The sequence below is a fragment of the Homo sapiens genome, chromosome 20, assembly GCF_000001405.40.
Source record: "Homo sapiens chromosome 20, GRCh38.p14 Primary Assembly".
Lineage (NCBI taxonomy): Eukaryota > Metazoa > Chordata > Mammalia > Primates > Hominidae > Homo > Homo sapiens.
The window spans coordinates 19222006-19243076 of NC_000020.11; the positions used below are offsets into that span (position 1 = coordinate 19222006).

General features: G+C 41.8%; 1 protein-coding gene and 2 long non-coding RNA genes across 4 annotated transcripts in view; 2 read left to right on the top strand and 1 right to left on the bottom strand.

The window, feature by feature from the left end:
* SLC24A3 (solute carrier family 24 member 3) overlaps positions 1-21071 on the top strand; it is a 510285-nt gene that overhangs the window by 9364 nt on the left and 479850 nt on the right. The gene's annotated exons all lie outside the window — the stretch shown is intronic.
* On the top strand, positions 1238-21068 carry LOC124904879 (uncharacterized). Of its 2 annotated transcripts, none has more exons than XR_007067552.1 (2): positions 1238-4991; positions 12099-21068. It is a non-coding gene; the product is annotated as an uncharacterized LOC124904879 (long non-coding RNA). The 2 variants fall into 2 exon arrangements; XR_007067551.1 differs by lacking the exon at positions 1238-4991 and adding an exon at positions 11254-11459.
* Positions 20297-21071, bottom strand: part of SLC24A3-AS1 (SLC24A3 antisense RNA 1) — a 42295-nt gene continuing 41520 nt past the window's right edge. Inside the window, exon 8 of the long non-coding RNA NR_024564.1 lies at positions 20297-20569. This is a non-coding gene — a long non-coding RNA (SLC24A3 antisense RNA 1). The remainder of the gene's footprint in view (positions 20570-21071) is intronic.

The window sequence follows — 21071 nt, forward strand, 5'->3', positions numbered from 1 at the left end:
TAATTTTCTTATCTCTTCTCTCCAATTTCTCTCATCCTTTTGCTCTAATTTCTATAGATTTTTTTTAACCATGTCTTCCAACTCTTATACTGAGTGTTTAATTTCTGCTGTCATATTTTTAATTTCCAAGAGCTCTTCTTCCTGTGGAAGCTATTTTTAGTAGCATCCTGTTCCGCTTCAGTGGTACAATATCATCTCCCATATCCCTAAGTAGATTCGTAGTAGTATTGAGGTTTTCTTTTCCCCATATGGACTCTTTTTTCAAGTTGCTGTTGTTCCTTTGTTTTGTCTTGTTTTTCATATTATACATGCTTTCTTCAGATGTCAGGGGATCTTTGGCAACTACTTATATTTAGGTGGTGCTGTGGAAAAGATGACTGGAAATTGTGCAAAGGAGGGTCTTGTTGATTGTATCTCTGTTATGCTATCTAACTGGGCTATTTTATTGGGCAATGCTTCATATCTCAAGTTTTAGATCTCTGTCAGGGGGTGGTCAGTTTTCCCAGAGAAAGATCACTCAGCATCCTGTCTTGAGGGAAAAGACCTAGTTACTTCTGAGAATCCGATAGGAGAGGAATCTGGGAATGGGGAAGGTTTTTTCAACAGAAACACTCCCCTAGACTCAAGATATATTCAGCCCTCACAACTGTGAGTAAGGAAGCACTAAATAATTTATTTAGATATATAGCAGGACCATCCCAAATTATTTAATCCTTCCTTCCTTCCTTCCTTCCCTCCCTCCCTCCTTCTTCCTTCCCTCCTCCCCTTCCCCTCCCTCCCTTCCTTCCTTCCTTCCTTCCTTCCTTCCTTCGTTCCTTCCTTCCTTCCTTCTTTCCTTCCCTTTTAACTACTGTACACATGAATCTGGTAAGAGCTACTGCCTCCTGGTAGAACTAATGGTCAGAAGTAAAGAGAAGGCTTAATCTTCCCCATACCCCTTTTTTTAATTGAAAAATTTTTTAGAGAATTTCAGATTCACACACAGTCATAAGAAGTAATACAGAGGGCCAGGCACAGTGGCTCATGCCTGTAATCCCAGCACTTTGGGAGGCCGAGGTGGGCGGATCATCTGAGGTCAGGAGTTCGAGATCAGCCTGTCCAACCTGGTGAAACCCTGTCTCTACTAAAAATACAAAATTAACTGGGTGAAGTGGCGCATGCCTGTAATCCCAGCTACTCAGGAGGCTGAAGCAGGAGAATCATTTGAACCCAGGATGTGGAGGTTGCAGTGAGCTGAGATTGCACCATTGCACTCCAGCCTGGGCAACAAGAGCCAAGCTCTGTCTCGGGGTGGTGCGGTGGGGGAGAAGTAATACAGAGACATCTCTTACACATTTTCCCATTTCCTTTACATTTTGCAAAACTATAGTATAATATCATAACCAGGGTAATAACATTGATACAATCCACGAACTTTATTCAGATTTTTCCAGTGTTATTTGTATGGTAGTCCCTCAGTATCCATGGAGGATATGTTTCAAGACCTCCCAGTGAATGCCCGAAACCATGGATAGTACTGAATGCTACATACACTGTGTTTTTTCCTATACCTATATAACCATGATAAAGTTTAATTTAGAAATTAGGCACAGTAAGAGATTAACAATAACTAACAATAAAATAGAACAATCGTAATATACTCTAAGAAAGGTTATGAGAATGTGGTCGCTCCTTCTCTCTCAAAATATCTTCTTGTACTGTGCTCACCCTTCTGGTGATGATGTGAGATGATACAGGGCCTACGTAAGGAGATGAAGTCAGGTGCATGACGTAGGCCTGTGACATAGCGTTAGGCTACTGTTCACCTTGAACCCAGGCACTGCCACACCATGACAGTCGATCTGATAACCGAGCTGGCTACTGAGTGACTAAGTGACTGCAGAATGGATCAGCTGGACAAAGGGATGATTTATGTCCCAGGCGGGACAGAGCATGACAACTTGAGATTTTATCACATTACTCAGAATAGTGGCAATTTAGAACTTAGGTATTGCTTACTTCTGGGTTTTTCCATTTAATATTTTTGGACTATGGTCGACTGCAGGTAACTGAAACAGCAGAAAGTGAAACTGAGGATAAATGAGGACTACTGTACCCATGTGGTGTGAGTGTGTGAGTGTGTGTGTGTGTGTGTGTGTGTGTGAGAGTATTGAGTTACACACAGTTTTATCACCTGTGTAGGTTTGTGTATTCATTATCACATTCAAGATACTGTACAGATCCAACACCACAAGGATCCCTTATGCTGCACACCCATGTGTCTTTTAGTACAAAAGGAGTAGTCCAGTAATTTATGTCACCTATTCCCAAAAAAGTCAATTAAAAAGTATAACGTCAAGAATTAAGGAAATTCTACCCCCAATAATTTTGCACTCTACACAAAGGATTTCTTGCAATTTGGGGCAGGTCAGTCTACATTAGTAAAATTGAACCATGAAGGGTTTTCTCCATGGATGCACTTTTATTACTGTCAGGTATGGTAACCTGAACTACGTGCTGGATAAAGGCCATGCATGGCTTGTTAACAATTTCTTTGATAATGATTTTTTTTCTGTCATTTGCACAATATTTCTGAATGAATGCTCCATGAAAATAGCTTATTTGAGTAGTTTGTTCATTCAAGCAGCTTAGCCATGGCCCTTGCAATATTACTTTCACCATTATCTGTTTCCTAGAGTATCAGAGATGGAGAAACTCTTGGGGACCATTGAATCTTAACATCCTGTTTTACTTTTGAGGAAACTAATGTCAAAGGAAATTGGAATTGGGGCTGGAACCCAGGCTTTCTGATTCTTTGCTTAGTAAATTCTTTAAAAAATGCCAGAAAGTTAAGGTTATAAAAATATTTAATGCAAATTAACTCTTGGTAAAATTTTTTCAAATTCTGAAATTCTTCTGAAATGCTGGAATCTTTCTGGGAATTTTTTGGCATTTAGTGTAGTTAGTACATGGGAAAAATTAGGAATTTTCAGGGTGAGCCACTTCTTGTGACAAAAAAGAGATTTGTTTAATCAGAAACACTGGCTGTTGGAATGCTCCTAGGTTGCTTTAGAAGAGAGTTTGCATTGTTGGTTCACCACCTTCTACCTGGGTTGTAACCTCATATAACCATTAGGATGATTGACCGTTTTGAAAATGAGTGGCCATTAATTCATTTTGTTAGGGGTCTTTGAGCTTACGAGTTTTCAACTTTTTTCATCCTTCTTGTTGGAATTCTGGGTTGTGATTTGAAGATACTTCCAAAGAAATAAAATATTCCTAGGACCTTAAGAACCCAGGCTTTGTAAACGTGATATGAAGGACCTCTTGAATGGCATTCCACAGTTTGGTTGTTTGAAATCACAGGTGTTTGTTGGGCCATGTGCAGGAAGAAAGTCATTGTACCTACTTTAAGTAAATCTGGGCATGAGAACAGGTCAATTCCGGTATTTTCCAAGCATTGTGGAATATTTCTTCCCTTACATATGTTAAATTGATATCATACTACATATAATGTTTTAGATCCTGCTTTTAAAATAAAAAACCCCTAAACTTGACAGGGTGCAGAACAATATATCACCCCAAAAACCCCCCTCAAGCTACCCCTTTATATTCATACCCTTCTTCCATCTCTGAACCCTGATGTGTTTTCTGTTACTATAGTTTTGTCTTTTTGAGAACGTCATAGATGGAGTTCTATAGTTTATAATCTTTTGAAACAGGCTTTTTTCACTCAGTACAATGCTTCTCAGCTTCATCTAAGTTGTTTTGCACATCAGTAGTTCATTCCTTTTTATGGCTGAGTAGTATTCCACTATACAGATGTACAATAGTTTGTCTGTCCATTTAATGTTGAAGAACATTTGAGTTGTTTTTAGTTTTGTTAATTTATGAACAGAGTTGCTAAAAACACTCAGATCCAGGGTTTGTAATTCCTTTTTCTTGACTTATTACAGTGGCTAAGACTTTTAGTACAATATTGAGTTTGAATGGACATCCTTGTCTTGTGTCCCTGATATTAGGGGGAAAACGTTTAGTCCTTCCCTGTTAAGTATGCTATTTGCTGTAGGTTTTTCATAGATTGCCTTTATCAAATTGAGTAATTTCCTTTTTCGCCTTAGTTTTCTGAGAGTTTTTATCAAGGGTGGATATTGGTTTATCAGATGTTTTTCATGTATCAATTGATATGCTGAGGTGGTTTTAATTCTTTAGACAGTTAATATGGTGGATTGCATGGATTGATTTTCAAATACGGAATCAGCCTTGCATACCCTGTATAAGACCCACTTGATCATGGTGTGTTTTTCATTTTGTATTTCCTGGATTTGATTGATCATATTCGGTTGAGGGCTTTTGTGTCTAGGATCACACAAGATACGGACCTGTAATTTTCTTCATTTGGTACTATCACTGTCTGGTTTTGCTACCAGGGTAATACTGGCACCATAAAATGATTTAGGAGATGCTTCCTCACAGTTTCTGGAAGAAACTATGTACAATTGGTGGGTCATGCTTTTTAACTTATCATGGGCATCCCTCCATGGAATTAATCTTAAAAACTAGTTTTAATGTCTGCTTAATAGTAATAATAATCACAGTATTTTTCTTCATGTTACAGCATGTAATGTTTATTGGGCATTTAGTGTGGCCGAGGACTGTTCTAAGTGCTTTACTTGTACTGACTCCTTTAATCTCCACAATAACTCTATAGAGTAGATACCATTATTATCTCCAATTTACATGCGAAGAAAAATAAGACAAACAGTTTAAATAACTTGCTCAAGGTCACAAAGTTTCTATGTGGTCAAGTAGAATTTGAATCCAGGCAGTCTGATTCCACATCCTGTGGTCTTAACTATTACATCGTATCCTTTGATTATGTCATAACTTATTTATTCAGGGTTCCATTTGAGATCCATATTTTGAGATTTTCCATGCCTTCACTTTGATGACTGTTCTTGTCAGAAGTCTTTGACAATCTCTGCCGGTTTCTTTAGGTTGGATTTCTAAAGGTGGTATTTCAGCATCAAAAGGCATGCCCATCGTAAAGGCTCACACGTACTATCATGTAACTTTCCAGGAATTGGAACAAATTTGAAATCCCAACAGCAGTGTTTGAGAGAGCTCAATTCGATGTTCTGTTGCCTGAATTATTTTTATATATTTTTAATTCAATTTGATTGTAGAAAGATGGTGTCCCGTTGGTTTAGTTTGCCTTCCTTCTTTACCGAGCAGGTTCAACGTTTTACACGTTTGTTGAACTTTTATATTTATTTTCTTGTGAGAAGGGTTTGCTCATATCCAGTCTTCATTTTCTTCTAATGAGTTAATAGTGTTTTTTCTTAATGTTTTGTAAGAGCTTTTATATATTTTGTTTTACTTTGCCGTATTTCAAAAGTCTTGTTCATTCTTTTTTTTTTTTGGCATAGAGGATTCTCATGACATCTGGCCCACGCCGTATCTCTTTCCCTTTATTTTTTCATCCGCCTATTCTTAGATTCAGGCTCTTAGTCAACGTATTTATTCACCATTTGTATGGTTTACTTTTTAAAAAATTTAACTCTTTACTTCATTTGGAATTTATTTTAGCATAAGATTAAAATTTAATTTAAACAGATTAACATATTTAATAGTTAATTCCAGAATTGTTTATTGACTACTGTTTCCTCTACCTCCACATTTGTGGTATCACCTTTATTCCATGCCTATTCTCTTATGTACCAGAGGCAAATATTTTATGATATTTATTTTGTTATATTTACTCATTAATTAATTGTAACTTATTAGCATGTTAATTATCTGGTAGGTCAAGACACCTTTCCTGTTTTTTGAAAAAACTATTTATTTATTGTTATCACTCATTTATCTTTCCAGATGAATTTATAATCCTTTACATTTTCTCCAAATCCTTCTAGGTTTTGATAAATCTATAAATAATTTATGGAAAAATGGCATTTTATAATGTTGATTCTTTTTGTTCATAGTGTGTTTCTTCATTTGATAAAGGCTTTTAAAAAATTTGTCAAGATTCATGATTATTTCTCTATTTCTTCCTTACATTTACTGGTGAAGGTTACTCTGGTATTTATTATTTGTTGTTGCTCTTGTTTCATCCCTTAATAGTCTTTTAAAATATTGCTTCTTTATATTTTATTCTTAAAAATGTGAAATTATACAATACTGAAAATAAACTTATTCTATGAATCAATATCTTTAGGTTCATTCTGTAGCTGAGGAGTTTTTTTACTGTTGGAAGACTATGTGCTGTCCATTGGGGTATGGATCCCCTTGGCTATTAGTGACACTGGTTACTTTTCATTATGCTGTGGAAGTTTCCTTTCATTTGTGGTTTTCTATATTAGAAAAAAATCAGGGCCGGGCGCGGTGGCTCACGCCTGTAATCCCAGCACTTTCGGAGGCTGAGGTGGGCGGATCACGAGGTCAGGAGATCAAGACCATCCTGGCTAACACTGTGAAACCTTGTCTCTACTAAAAATACAAAAAATTAGCCGGGCGTGGGCGTGGTGGTGGGCGCCTGTAGTCTCAGCTACTCGGGAGACTGAGGCAGGAAAATGGCGTGAACCCAGGAGGCGGAGCTTGCAGTGAGCTGAGATCACGCCACTGCACTCCAGCCTGGGTGACAGAGCTAGACTCCGTCTCAAAAAAAAAAAAATTAGCCATGGATGTTGAATGTGATCAAATGCCTTATTAACACTTATTAAAGTGTTTAATATAACAATATATATAGAAAAAAATATCCTTACTAAAGCACTTCTGAAAGTGAATCTTACAAAGGCATGACATATATTTTTAATATGATGCTGGATTTTATTTATTTGCATTTTCTATGAAATTTTTGCCTATATATTTATGAAAGAAATAGACATATAGCTCCTTTGCCAGGTTTTGGTGTCAGGATCACACTAACTTTACAAATGAATTGATAATTTCTATGTTCCTCTATGTTCTGGAATATTTTATGAAGCATGGAAATTATTTGTATATTGAAAATTTGACAAAAGCACTTATAGTGCTGCCTGCCTTACAGTCTTCTATGAAGATAATTTTGAACAAACTTTAATTTCTTTCATTGATACTTTTCTGTGTGGGTAATTTATGTTTTCCTAGAGAAGTGTTAATTTCATTAATATTTTAGAAATGAACAAAATTATGAAGTACTTTTTTTGTTTTAATTTGTTCTGTAATTGAGATCATATAAACTTTTCTCAGTACTAACGTATATGTTTATTTTTTTCATTGATAAAATCTGACTGTATTTGGTGTATTTTATCAATTTGTGAAAATTTGTATCTTGTATTTCTTCATTAATTTTTCTCTTTTCCCTTTTCCCTGAGTCAGTAAAGCTTTAATATTTATTCAAAATCTCCTCTTAATTCCTGTGTTTATTTTCAAATATCTTGAATGAAATGCTTTATTTCCTTTTTATTATTTCTTGCTTTATAATGCATTTGATGTTTAGTGTAGCTTTAGACTCAAACTATAAGTTTTGAAATGTCATGCAGTCATTATTGGTACTTTTCAAATAGTCTTGTAATTATAGTTTTTATTTTTTCTGCAATTAATTATTTGAGAGACTGAATTTTAACTTCTAAGTTGTTGGAGTGTGTGTGTGTATATATATATATGTATATATACCAAGTTCTAATTTTATTTCGTTTTGCCTGGAGAATATGACCTTTAATTGTGGCTTCTTGTTGGTTTTGGTTGTTTCCCTTGGAACATGAACTGTTTGTAATTTGGATAGTTATTTGGCTGTGTCTTCATCTTTTTGTCTTTTCCTCTTCATTCTGTAAGAGCCTATGTTTTTTTCCCCTTGGTAATTTGATTTTCAGCACTATTGGGTCTGCTGTCTGCTGCCTCTTATTCCCATTTATGTTTTGTGTTTGCATTTCTGGTTTTTTAACCATTTTATGTCTTGTCATCTCCATCTTAGCTGACTCCCCTTGTAATCTTAGCCTTTTCCATTTAGTGATTTTTCTTTCATATATCCTATGTTTATTTGATATTGAGATTAAAAAAAATGGATTCCAAAATTTACATCTTCTTCCCATAATAGATTTTTTTTTTTTTTAGAAGAATAGTGTTTTACTTCAGATGTTGCAGAGAATTTTCAAAATTGTCTTGAGTTATCAACCTTGAAAGAGAAGGTCCAGGCCGGGGGTGTGCCTGTGAACAGACCCTCCTGTCCCTTCAGCGCCCTCACCACTCTCACCTGGTCACAATTGTCAGGTTACTGTGAGCATCGCTTATGCTGAAGGGGTGGTTGTTGTGCATGGTCCCTGGCCAACCTTCCAGTGTTGATGTTGACTTTTCTAGGGTGACTCAGCTTGCCTGAGAGGGGATCTCCTGCTCCTTCTACCTTGTAGTTAGAATACTGAGGTGGAACCTTATTCATTATAATTTTGATCAGTGATAGTTCTTCCTAGTTCTTATATCTAGAGACAGTGTGTGAAAATCTGCCACCCTGGTTTGATCCCTCCTGTGGCTCTTTCCATCGCACCTCTTTTCTATTAATCTCCAGAAGGCTCCATACCACCCTCCTTTTGCTTCTTTGCCTAGTTGAGTTGCATTTCCGGGAACTGGGGTCTCTGAATGGATGGGTATAGAAAGACATATTGATGGGGGGGAATGGATGGGTATAGAAAGACATATTGATGGGGGGGGTGCCCTTTACAACAGTTCCTTTCAGCAACAAATGCCTCATGTTTCTGAGATGGGATTCACACCTGGGGACCCATGTGCCCTTCCACAGTCCGCATGTCACAATCCCTTCTTGTGTGTTAGGCATTCATCCACACTCAGCTTCTTTTATGCATCTCTGTATTTCCTTCAGTGGGAATGACCCATTGAAGGGTCATTGGGTCCTAATGCTAGGCTAATGACCATGCATCCCAGAATGCCTGTTCAGATTTTAGCTTGAAATTTTTAGTTTGTTACAAAGAAAAAGAAATTGGGATTTGGGAACAACTAAAGCTATCCGATATTAACTACTCTGTCTTAGTATTTTTTAGGCTTACACCTGTTTCTATGGTTTACCCCACGTAATTATCTCTGCAGAACCATGGATTAGGTATTATTATCCTCATTTAAATTAAAGTAACTTTCCCAAGGTAAAAAACAGGTAGACAGGGCAGTTTTGAACTTATACTTTCTGTGAAAACACTCTTACACTATTTTCCCCATGCCAAACATCTCTGAAGAAAGACATTTCTGGATATTTCTGCCAGGAAGTTAGACAAGGAGCTACCCCAGTGTGGTTTGCAGAATAGTGCTCCCGAAGATGTTTACGTCCGAATCCTTGAAATCTGTGGGTTTGTTATGTTACGTGGCAAGGAGGAGTTCAAGTTGCTGATGGAATTCAGGTTGCAAGTTAGCTGACCTTGGAATAGTGAGATGATCCTGGATTATCAGGGTGGGCTCCGTGCAATCACATGGTTCTTGTAAAACAGGGAGGCAGGAGAGTCAGCCAGAGAAGGTGATGTGCCAACAGAAGCCGAGGTCAGAATGATGTCATTACTGGCTTGAAGATGGAAGAGGCCGTGAGCCAAGGAATGGGGGGTGCCTCCAGGAGCTGGACAAGGCAAGGCTGCAGATTCTTCCCAAGAGCTTCCAGTAGGAATGCAGTCCTGCTGACACATTAAATTTAGCCCAGCAAGACTTCTGTAGGATTCTGACTTCCAGAACTGTATGGGGCTGTTGAAAGCCAGTAAGTTTGTGGTAATTTATTACAGCAGCAATAGGAAACGCACGCACCCAGTGTATCGAATATTGGCCATGGTCTAACTCTCTGCAGAGCAGGAACAGGAAGTCCTGGAGTGATTGGCTGTGTGTGCACACCCACCACATGGAAATTTACATTAACATGTAACATGTTATCACTTGATTATATATTTATTAGCTCATTTTATTGTTGTCACCCTCCCCTAGCTAGAATGTCAGCTCCCTAAGAGCAGAAACTTGGTTTGGTGCATTCATGGCTGTATGCCCAGTGCCTCATGTGGAGGAGAGGCTAAAGTATTTATTGGATGATTAATTTTTTTCCCAGGTGACATTGTACCAACTAAATGGAAGCTAACTTTTATCTTGTGGTGGAATACTGTAGATTATATAAGTAATAATAGAAATAGAAGAAATTGAGTTAAAATTATCTACCCTTGACAATCAAAATATTTATTTTCAGTGTTCAGTGTTTGGTCATATGTGTAAATATTATTCATGTAGGTAGTAAATATTTCCATTTAAGGATCAAACATGCAACATGTGACATTCTATTTATTTTGTGATGATCAGCTCTCTTTATTTTATGAATATTTTTATGAATAAAATAAGAGAGATGGTTATCACAAAATAAATGCAATGTTGTATGTTGTATTTTTGACTTTTAAATAGAATGTTTCATGTTGCACTTTTGTGACAACATATTTGAAATAAAGGTCACTGAATTTTTTAATAATTATCTCAGTCTGGTTGGCATTCTGTTGACTGTATAGGTCATACTTATTTATTGTTGGTTATTTAAAATATTATAGTTTATTTGAGATATTTGAATACTGTTAACTGAACACCTTTGTGCATGAGTCTGCTGTCAATCATGTTAGCTCTCCAGGCATCACCGTAGTAGTCCAGTAGCCTGCACTAGCTGGGAAAGCCACTGACGAGGACTCTGGAGTTAGAGAGCTTTTGCATATTGATAGAGAACTCTGTTGGCTAAGCTATCTGCCTTTAGGCTTGTTGCATGCTTTTATAATTTTTGTCTAAATCTATTTAGAGGGAATTCTCACCTGGCATCAGGTGTCCTCACCTTGCCTCTTCAACGTCAGCTTGTGCTTCTTCTATGGAAACTCATTCCTCATCAGAAATGCCCAGAACCTCTATGACAAGTGTAGGCAAAAGCGTAGTATGAACGGGACAATGATGGCAAAGGAGGAGCTACCAATTTGGAAAATGAATCGACTTGGAAACTGAATCAACCCCCAAGAGCGTTATTAGTATCAGACTAAATTATCTCCTTTAACTGCGTCACATCATGACCTTTACTTTTTAAACAGATATCTTGTTTTTCTTATCTTCTCTTCTTGACAGTTGCTTCGGTTTTTCTACATACTGACTGTTCCTCTGATAACAAAGCAAGAAGGAAAAACAAAATTTTAACTGTCAACTGAGTTTCGCAAGAGCGATGAGCAGTCCGGGGTGGGGAGGGTCTCTCCCCAGGCTCCCCGTGGTTGTACAAGCCAGCAGCGTTAACGGAAGTGCACACAGCAGTTCCAAGCCTGGGAGGAGAAGGATGTCCGCTCCAGGCAGTTTAGGATAGTTGTTTTGCCTAAGATGGCAAGAACATCACCCTTGCATCTTGAGCCAAGGAAACCATACATGGACGCATCTTGTCCTACATGGGAAGGGATACCCCTGCAGGCTTCTGGGGTACCATAAGTGTCCCGTGATGGCTCTTTCACCTTGGGGTTTGTTTTCCAAACTTTTCTAAGTCATTGGAAAGTAGAGTAGGAAGGAGGGGAGGAGGAAGGGGAGACAAGAAATATACTTGCCTGTGCATGCACTTTTCTGATTAATGTTCTGAGTGTCAGCACACAGTGAAGGTTTATTTTAGAAGACACCAGGAATGAAATATTTTATGTTGATATTGTGCAGGACTGATCTTTATTTTCTGCTATGAAGGACGGTATAACTTCATGATGCTCCTGCATCTTTGTAGTTCCTGTCATGAAATCATTCAGGGGTAGGAGACATGGCTCACAAGAGTGAAGGGCATTGCCTAGAACAGGAGTGCTGGACAGTGACTCTAGAGACAGGAGTTCTAATCTCACTTCAGCTATTAACTTTCTGCATGTTCTCTTCTGTTCTCAGTTTCTTTATCTATAGAATGGGAGCATTTATGCTAAATTGTCTTTATATTGGTAACACTAATTTCTCTCTAATTTGATTATTGCTTTTAAGTCTCTAGCCTCCTGAAAGATGCTACCTTCTAAGGCTAATTTATAGCCAGAGTAATATGGTTTTGCTCTGAGCATGCCCTGAATCATTATTCGTTCTTATTTCATGAGAATTACTTTTGTAAATGTTATTTTCTTTTGGTTTCACAGAGCCATTGAGATTGCACAGCTCGGATTTCTTCTGCATGTCATAAATTTTGCTAATAGTATAAACCCGTGTTTTTCAAAGTGAGAGCCTTGGAACAGCAGCATCAGCATCGCCCAGGTCCCCTGTGAGCTTGTTAGAAATGCAGAGTCATGGGCCCCTCCCCAACCTGCTGAATGGGAGCCTCTGAGGATGAGACCCAGGAAAGTTTGCTTAACGAAGTTGGCATGTATTGCCTGTGAAAGAGAAGTTTGAGAAGCACTGCTGTGAAACAGGGCAGCCAGGAGGTGCTGTGATTTTGCCCTCTGCACGTGGTCACACACTCAAGCATATGGTTTGCTCCTTGCATGACTGCACTTCAGATGAAATGCCAAGATTGAGACCCTTCTATGCTAGTGAAGCACAGGCTACTTTATTGAGAGCCTAGCAATATTGAGAGAGAAAAATGCAGACCTTCTTGGGGTAGAAAGGAGGATGGGTTTCCTTTCCTTATGAGATGGGATCCAGCTTCCTTACTACTATAGAGTCTCCCATGGATGGTGGCTTTGCTGACTTCAGAGAGAGCTGCAGGTGCACAGGAGCACCGTGATGTCATTGGTGTGCTCTGAAGAAATGAGGCCATGAGAAGAAGGTGAACAGAAGGTATTTCTAAAGGGTCTGGGAAGAGGAACAGCACCTATGATAATGGCTATCATTTCTGTTGCACAGTACTGATTATTTTGATGGTTGGCCCTGGGCTTTGATTTCCAGCCCTGTGGTCACACACACTCCTTATAATCATCTGCTCCCAGGAGAAGGTGTCATGAATTCTCTCTTTTCCTCCAGCCTTAGCTGTCACTGGCCTGGAATACGGTGTGACTGTGTAGAAGCTGTTGGCATTGTTTCTGCATTGTAAACTCACACACACTGAGTTAAATGCTGCTGAGCAGTTAATGTGCCCACTCCGGCTATTTTCTACCCAAGGATACTTGACTCATTTCTTATATCCTCTACTGTCCTTTAAAGCTCAATAGTGCTCTATCGGGGCCATTTAATTTGGTGGCACAAGGCATGCCCTGCATGGGATGTCTGCTTTTGTTTGAGTGGGACTGAGACCCTGGCCTGGAGCTGTAGCTGCTTGGAGCAAGAACTGCCTTTTTCAAATGTGCATGAAGGTGCTACCCACTCATCTTCCCTGCCTATGCCCCTACCTAGTGCAGAAGTAAGGTGAGGTAGGGTGGTGCTGTCGCCAGTTTGTACAAAGGACCAGCTGCGGCTCTGGGTCCCTGTATGGTGCAAGGAGAAACATTTATTTTCACTCAGGTGCTCTGCCTTAATCTAAAGCAAAACTCATGGACTTACCTCCTACACTAGGGTCCCTTCCTATTTACACACCTAGGTTGAGTACCTGAGTCTCCTGAATTCCTGTGTCTTCATCAGAGCAGCGTCTGGGAAGCTGGGTCTCTGTACTAGCTCCTTCACAGCGTCTCTCCCATGGCTCCTCATCTGGACTGTCACCTCATCTCCCCTCAAGTCCAGATCTTGACACCTTGTACTTGCACCTTCTGGCTTCTTACCTGTCTGGCCCTCTAGACCCCAACCCCTTCCTCCTGACTGTTCCAGCGCATCACATGGACTGAGCTTCCTGCAGTAGCTTTGAGATGCTGGCAGGTGCATCCCCTGCAGAACATCCATTCATATGTCCCAGTTTCTCCATTACCTACAAGGTGCAACTGAGCCCTGCAGCCTGCACCTGGAGCCTCCAGATTTCTGCTCCAGCCTACCTTGAAGATGAAGAGCCAGTCTGTAGTCTTCAAGGTCAAGGTGTCTATGGGTCATAAATGCATTTAACAGCATGAACGCTGGGTGACAAACCCAATAAAGAAATAGTTTCACTCTTTGAACACTTGTGAAGTGCTCATGTATGAGACAAATTTCAAGGCCTAATTTGACTCCAACGTCCTGACCACTTCTTCTATCTCATGGCGAACTTTTCTGTTTTTGAATTTATTCATAATTTAATTTGATATAATTCAACCAACTTTTATTGGGGAGCCATGCTCTGTTGGTAACATATGGGTCTAAATAGCATATGGGACACAGTCGTTGCTTTGAAGGCACCTAGAGTCAAGTAGGGAGAATGGGCATGTACAGTCAAAAGACTCTCATGCCACCTGTGAGGTGCCCCTAAAGAGCAGTGTGGGAGTGTGCAAGGGGTGTTGATAGTGAGTGATATGGGTTAATTCCACAAGACAGCTCAGGGGGAAGCCAGCAGTGCCTTCCTAGAGAAGCTTGGAGTTTCTGTCCCTCCCAGGGGGTTGATAGACCGGCCCATATATCATAGTATGCTTCTATCCTCCACTCTACACTAGTTTTAGAGAAAAAATAAGCAGGCTTGTCATGGTGGCTCATGCCTATAATCCTAGTACTTCGGAAGGCTGGGGTGGGAGGATTGCTTGAGGCCAAGAGCTTGAGACCAGCCTTGGCAACATAGCAAGACCGCAACTCTGCAAAAAAAATATGCAAAAATTGGCCAGGCATGGTGGTGCATGCCTGTATTCCCAGCCACTGGGGAGGCTGAGGAGGCAGCATCATTTGAGCCCAGGCGTTTGAGGCTGCAGTAAACTATGATTGCGCCACTTCACTCCAGCCTGGGTGACAAAGTGAGACCCTGTCTCAAAAACAAAACAAAACAAACAAAAAACAAACAAACTTAACATGAGCACCAAGGGCATATTGAAAGGTCAACAGCTGTGGCAGAAACCCACAGAGAGAGAGGGATGCAAGTGTGGAGATGGAGTGAGGGAGTGTCCCTTGGGGATGGTGGCTCATGTTTATAAACCTCACTCTATTTTTCGGTAGAGTTTCCCTCTTCTTTTCTGGGCTGTTATTCTCCAAGGAACTACCTAAGCTCTGGACACTTCCAAGCCTTGCAACGAACTTTAAAATGTGATATTCATTACATTATTTAGCACTTGGCCTGAAATGATGACAATGAGAAATTATGGCAACACAACAAACATTTGATTAGCTCTGTTTCATTAGGATTCTTCACATTTTGAGTTTAGAGACCCTCTAGGTTTCGGGAGCTGCAGATGTTCATCCATTTTCCTTTCCTTCTGAAGTTCCTTCTGCCATGGAAAGAGAAGTTGGGAGGAATTTCAGCACCTGGTGCTCCTGGGCCTGCAGGCGGGGGTCAGTGTCTGGTGTGGATGGCGGGGTCGTGCATCTGGATTTGGTTAGCTGGCTGGCCATCTGCTGTTCCCCTGCCTCAGCTGCCCATCTTCACCTGCTTTGCCATCTGTAAGTCATCCTGAGAAGGGATTTCATGAGAATTACCTTCTGAGAAGGCCTGGTGTGCCGTCCCTTTCAAGTCATGGGAATCTGTGCTTTGTGGGTTCGGCACCTGTTCCCGTCATGTGCTAGCTCAGCTTGCAGAACATCCACCCAGCTTGCAGAACAGCTTGGGTCCAGTCTCTCTGAGACAACCAAACACCAGCAGGGCCAGGCTGGAATCTGGGCTCTGAGCTGATCCTTCCCCTGCTCTCCATGCATAGGACCTGTCTCTTCTCCTGCGTCGTCATTGAATGGACAACAGCATGAGCATTGACCTGTGGCTGAATTCAGCTGGATTGAGATTCACTCTTGGTGAGAGGGAGATTGAGCAGGAGAGATATGCAGCTCTCATGAGGGGCTCTTGGTTTGGCCTCCTTCTCATCAAATCCCAGCCTGCTCCCCCTTTTTCCTCGCAGCCTCCACCTCGCCTTCTGATTTAAGCCTGGGCCTGAGTTTCACGTCTGTCGGTTTTACTTTCAGTCGATTTTACGGGTGCCTGAGCGGCTGTAACATTTTCCTGCTGCCTTTTCTATTTTCAACCCAAATAGGAAGTGACAAAGATGGTTTTGGTGCAGAGAGAATGTGATTCATTTTGTTACTTTTTTAAAACTTTTTTTAAAGTTCAATATATGTACAGAAAAGGGTATCTATCATAAGTGTATATAGCTTGATGAATTTTCACTAACTAGACAGCAGCCGCCAAATTAAGAAACAGAGCAGGATCTGCACCCTTGAAACCTGCACATGGTCCTTCCGAGTCACCCCCCACAAGAGTGACCACTGTCCCAGCTTCTAACAGCAGAGAGCAGCTCTGCCTGTTCTTGTGCCGTTTGTCATCTGTGTGTCTGTTTTCTTGCTGAATGTTATGCTTGTGAGATTCATCCGTGTCGTCATGTCTAGTTGTAGGTTATTCATTATTGTTGCCGTTCACAGTTTTATTGTGAGAACTGATGGACATTTGTGTGATTTCCACTGTTCATCTATAATGAGCTGTGCAGCTCAGAACATTCTTGTTCATGCCTTTCCGCCATCACTTGCATGTATTTTGATCTGGTGTATACTCCAGAGTGGAATGGCAGGGTCTGAGGGGATGCTATGTTCGGCTGCAGTAGATCCTAATAAACAGTTTTCCAACATGGAGGTACCTATTTAAAGTGTAACTTCGATTTTAAAGCAAAGTGGATGCTTGGGTTTGAACTTCACAGTCACATTTATTGGATTGAAAGGGCTCATTGGCAACCCACAGCCAAGAGACCAAGAGAGAGTCCTAACCATGGGGAGGGAGCAGTTGCCAGTGCCCTGGCATCCTGGTCCCCGCCCTGGTCTGGTGTTGGGTCTCTGCAGCATGCAAAGGGGATGGCCAGACAAGACACACCGAAGACACACCTCCTGCCCTCTGGAGGCTGATTGTTTCCACAATGACGACAATGATCATCAGTATTACTATTGATCTTTCTCCTCCTCCTGTCCTTCTCTTTCACTTCTCCCCTCCACTTCACCCAAAAAAAGGAGTTTTATTCCCATCCCTCACCCAGCACACACATGGGCGCATGCACACACACACACACACACACACCTGCCAAATTCGTGGGAGGACCCACTCCTAAGGTTGGGATGCAGTTGGGAATCACAGTGTGGGGAAAAGTGTTAGTTACACTGGAGGAAGTGTGATGCAATCACTGGAGCTCTTTGAGAAAAGCTTATTTTAAAAAAAAAAAAAAAAAACAACACAGAGTAAGAATGAGTCTTTCCAAAATTACTGTGTCTTGGGCCAGGCCTGGAGACAGCCCTATCCCTCTCTTATGCTCCTTGTGCAGTGTTTGAGATGCCTAAGCCCGTATGAAGCACAACAGGAGAAGCAGCCCCAGTACCCTCAGATAAAAGCAACAGGTGATGCGTTTTCTAAATAGTGCATTGCCTTTCTAGTGCCACCTCCTGCAACTGGGGATCCCACTGCCAGCAGCCTCTCCAGGCACCCCCAAGGCTGTCTCCCACAGGTGGGCTAGGAGATGGGGAACAGGGCTCGCTGCTCACCTGAGGACCTGCACGGGCAACTGGAAGGGGCCAGCTGAACACAAGAGGCACTGGGTGCTGTTGGAGAAGAGGGTGCTTCTTCGGGACATTTGTTAGCCCATCAGAGGATGGTGACCCCAGGGTGGCTGACCCTTTCTTCCTCCATTCACTTCAGCTGGGTGTGGCAGAGGAGCTTGGACACGCATCAATTGCATGTCTGCAGGGCCAGAGAGGTGTGTCATATTAGCAGGTAACCAATTTGATCCACACCACCCTGTCACATTGTTTTCACCCCAAGGGTCCTGGCTCCCAGCCTGAGGGATCTCAAAGGTCCCCCTCGATGGCTTTGCCTTTGAGAAGTAGGGGGAGTGGAGGCATGGGTGAGGAAACTGCCTGGACACAACCCAGGGGCCCTGTGGGCAGCCTTGGCACTAGTCCAGGGCTGGGAAGCTGCCCCCTCAGTTCTATGGCCCTCGTTGGACTGTATGGGACCCCATGGTCTGTGGAGTGGGAGAAGCACAATCTGCGGTTGTCCTGAGTCTTTTCTGTCTTCCTGCAGGCTGCCCAACCCCAAGGGCCTAACAGAGATGATCAGTTTAACCAGGTAGAACATGGTGGTTTTGATACCTCCTTCTGTTAGTTTCTTCCAAATGGCCAATGTCTTGGAAAATTCTGTTGACCAGTAAAGCTTTATTAATAAAGCATTCATTTTTTCGTTTTCCCACTGAAAATCATCATAGACCCACATGACTGCCAGTGGGGCTTCAGGTCACACTGCAACAACTGCTGTGACTACTAGAGTTTATCTAACTGTGTCTGAAACTAGAGGCTCGTGATGTTCTTGTGAGCCATTGCAGCCTCAATGGTGTACATCTGAGGTTCCTGTTGCTTTGAAATAACATGCAGACCCTCAATACCACACTGTCCTACTTCTAGAAGGAGAAGTAGCTCTGAATTGTGAGTTTGCATTGTAAAAGCAGTTTTCTCCTTCCAGGAGTTTCCAAATTCTAAGTGACAGGGAACTCCAGGGATAGTAAAACTCTCTTCAGAGTGGACAAAACTCTGTATGTGCAGACAGGCTCAGGAAGCCAGGGAAGCCAGAGGAGGTGCTGCTGCAGTAACTCATCTCTCTTGTGAAGGTGGAAATGAAAAAGGAATCTCAGACCTCCTTCTGTGGGTCACCCACTGTCTCTGGTTAGTGAGCCTGATTTGTGGGCAGGTGAGTAATTGAGGGAGGGAAGGAGGATAGGCTGGGGATGAAGGTTGGGTTGGGATGTTGTCTCTGCTTGGGTTTGGCTGATCCCACAGGGTGCTCTGGAGCACAACAACATCACACAGTTGATCTTATCTTGGGTCAATGGGACCACTTTTTGTAGACCCAGTCAGCCACTCACTAGCCCCTGGCTGCCCCTCGCATGGGGCAGGGGAAATGTGTGACTCCTAAGCAAGGCAGCTTCTCTGGACATGGGGGAAGCTGAGAGCCAGGAGCAGCCAGAGCTCACAGCAGCAGGGTGCATGGCCGGCAAGGGTATCTGCAGGCATTGGCAGCAAGTGCCACGCCTCCCACTTGTGAACCTGGCTGGCCACGGGCTACCACCTCTCTCAGCCTGTCCCGGTGAAGAGGGTTGGTCTAGATTTAGATCCTACTGTTTGAATAAGTCTCTGCAGCCCTGCAGGGATCTTGCAGTAGATTGAGGGAAAGCAAACCAACCATGTCCAAAAAGACCATGCCAGTGGGCAAAGTGGAGCAGCGGAGATGTGGCTGTTAGGGTAGGACACGGACGGGGTTATCCAGAGGTGTGGGGAGGTGTGCCTGTCTCAGACCTGTCCAAGATTCTTTCTGGATGGCATTTCTGCTCAGCCATGTGTTCCTGCTTCGTCCATGTGCTTTGAGGCCCCAGGGTTTGTGCACACAATACTCGGGGCTTGGGAGTGCCCCATGTAGCTCAGAGCTGTCCACCCCTCACTCCCCAGGCATCTCCTCTCAGGCCGGGGATGCTTTTCTCAGGATGGCCTGGCCGTTTTCAGGCCACTCGGTTTCTCCATTTCTCCATTCTTGCGGTGGGCCTATTGATTAGGAGAATCTCACCCAGTCTCGCTTTGGCCGGGGTAGCTCTGCCAGGTCTGAATTCTTTTCAAAAATTGAAAAGTACTTGTAAGTAGATTAACCGTGCATGCCCGGGGCGTTTCCCAAAGCCAGCATTGACAAGTAGATAAGAATGATTTATAACTAGCACTTCAGTCTGCGTCAGTGGTGCTTGTGGACAGATAACGGTGTCTTCGGCTCGATTTCTTCTTGGCTGAGTTGGAGATGCTCCTTCCAGGCTGGTGGCTCTGAATTCAAGAACTCTGGCACACTCAGCTCTCATTGAGGGCAATCGTGATGAATAGTGAATCAGCTTCCCCTGACAATGGGGGTCATTTTACTGCAAAATGGCTGCCCTTTGTGTCTCTGGGAAAAGGGTGCTGAGAAATGAATGTCGAGGGCTGTAGAAATGCTGAATAATAAGTGAACTTGATCACATCGGGCAGCGAGTCTGAATGCCTCCCTTTGATTTGACCCAGTTATACCTTCAAGGTCCCAGGACTGGTGCTTTGGAAAAAGTGACTGGCTCCAGCACATCTCTGTGTACCTCAATGCTATCAGATCTCCATCATGGACTCTCATCTCAATAGAATGTTAAGTTTTGAGAATAATAACTCAAAGAATTTCCTGGAAAAGGCAGAGGAGGTGAGGGGTGGGATTGTGAATGGGCATACTGGAGACCCAGCTCCAAGAGGAAGATTAATTTAGAACTCAGAGGGAGGGGCCTTGGCTTAAGCTGGAGCCAGGCTGCATGGGCCCTGATGGGAATAAATAGAAGCCCCAGGTTTTGTAGGTGTTTCACCTCATTCCTTTATTCATTAAGTCAATGGGCAGGTGTGGGATTAGGTCAGTTTTGCTCGTATTGCATTTGAGATGTCCCATATAGATTGAGGTTTGGGCGATAGAGGTTTGGGTTGTGGGAGGAAGCAATTCTTTACTCTTTTCCCAAGACTGTACTGAAAGCAGCTGGGATTGCATCTGATGTTTTCCACACGTGGCTGTAATCTGAAAGTACAGGGCAGTTGTCGGTCGTCTCTAAATTCACGGGGCAAGTTTGCATCCCTAGTTAAGTAATAATTTAAAGAAATGGTTAATCATGACCTTCCTACAGATATAAAATAAACATGTGTTGAAGATTTTCTTTAACTCATTATGAATGAGGAAACTGGTAAGATGTTATAGACATTTCAAAGGAGAATCCAAAGAACGGACACAAATATAGATCAGGAGTATTGAAATGAATGTGCAAATGGAGGCAAAATTGGTTTCTTTCATAGTAGGGGAGAGAAGTCGATTGAACCTACTAGACAAAATTTGCATGTATAGATAATTATTTTGCATCACTGTCAATTTACAGAGTTGTAAAAGAGCTCAAATGCAATGAAAAGTAAGAATAATCTGGAAAGGTGTGCTGTAAACAATGCATAATTTCCTGTTGAACCACATTTTTTTTCCTTTTCTCTTCTTAGTAAAGTTCAATATTTTTATCATTAAACTTGTTCAGAAAGTGTCTGTCTCTTTAAAATATGTAAGCAATAATAAAAGTTTCTTTTTTATTTGAGAT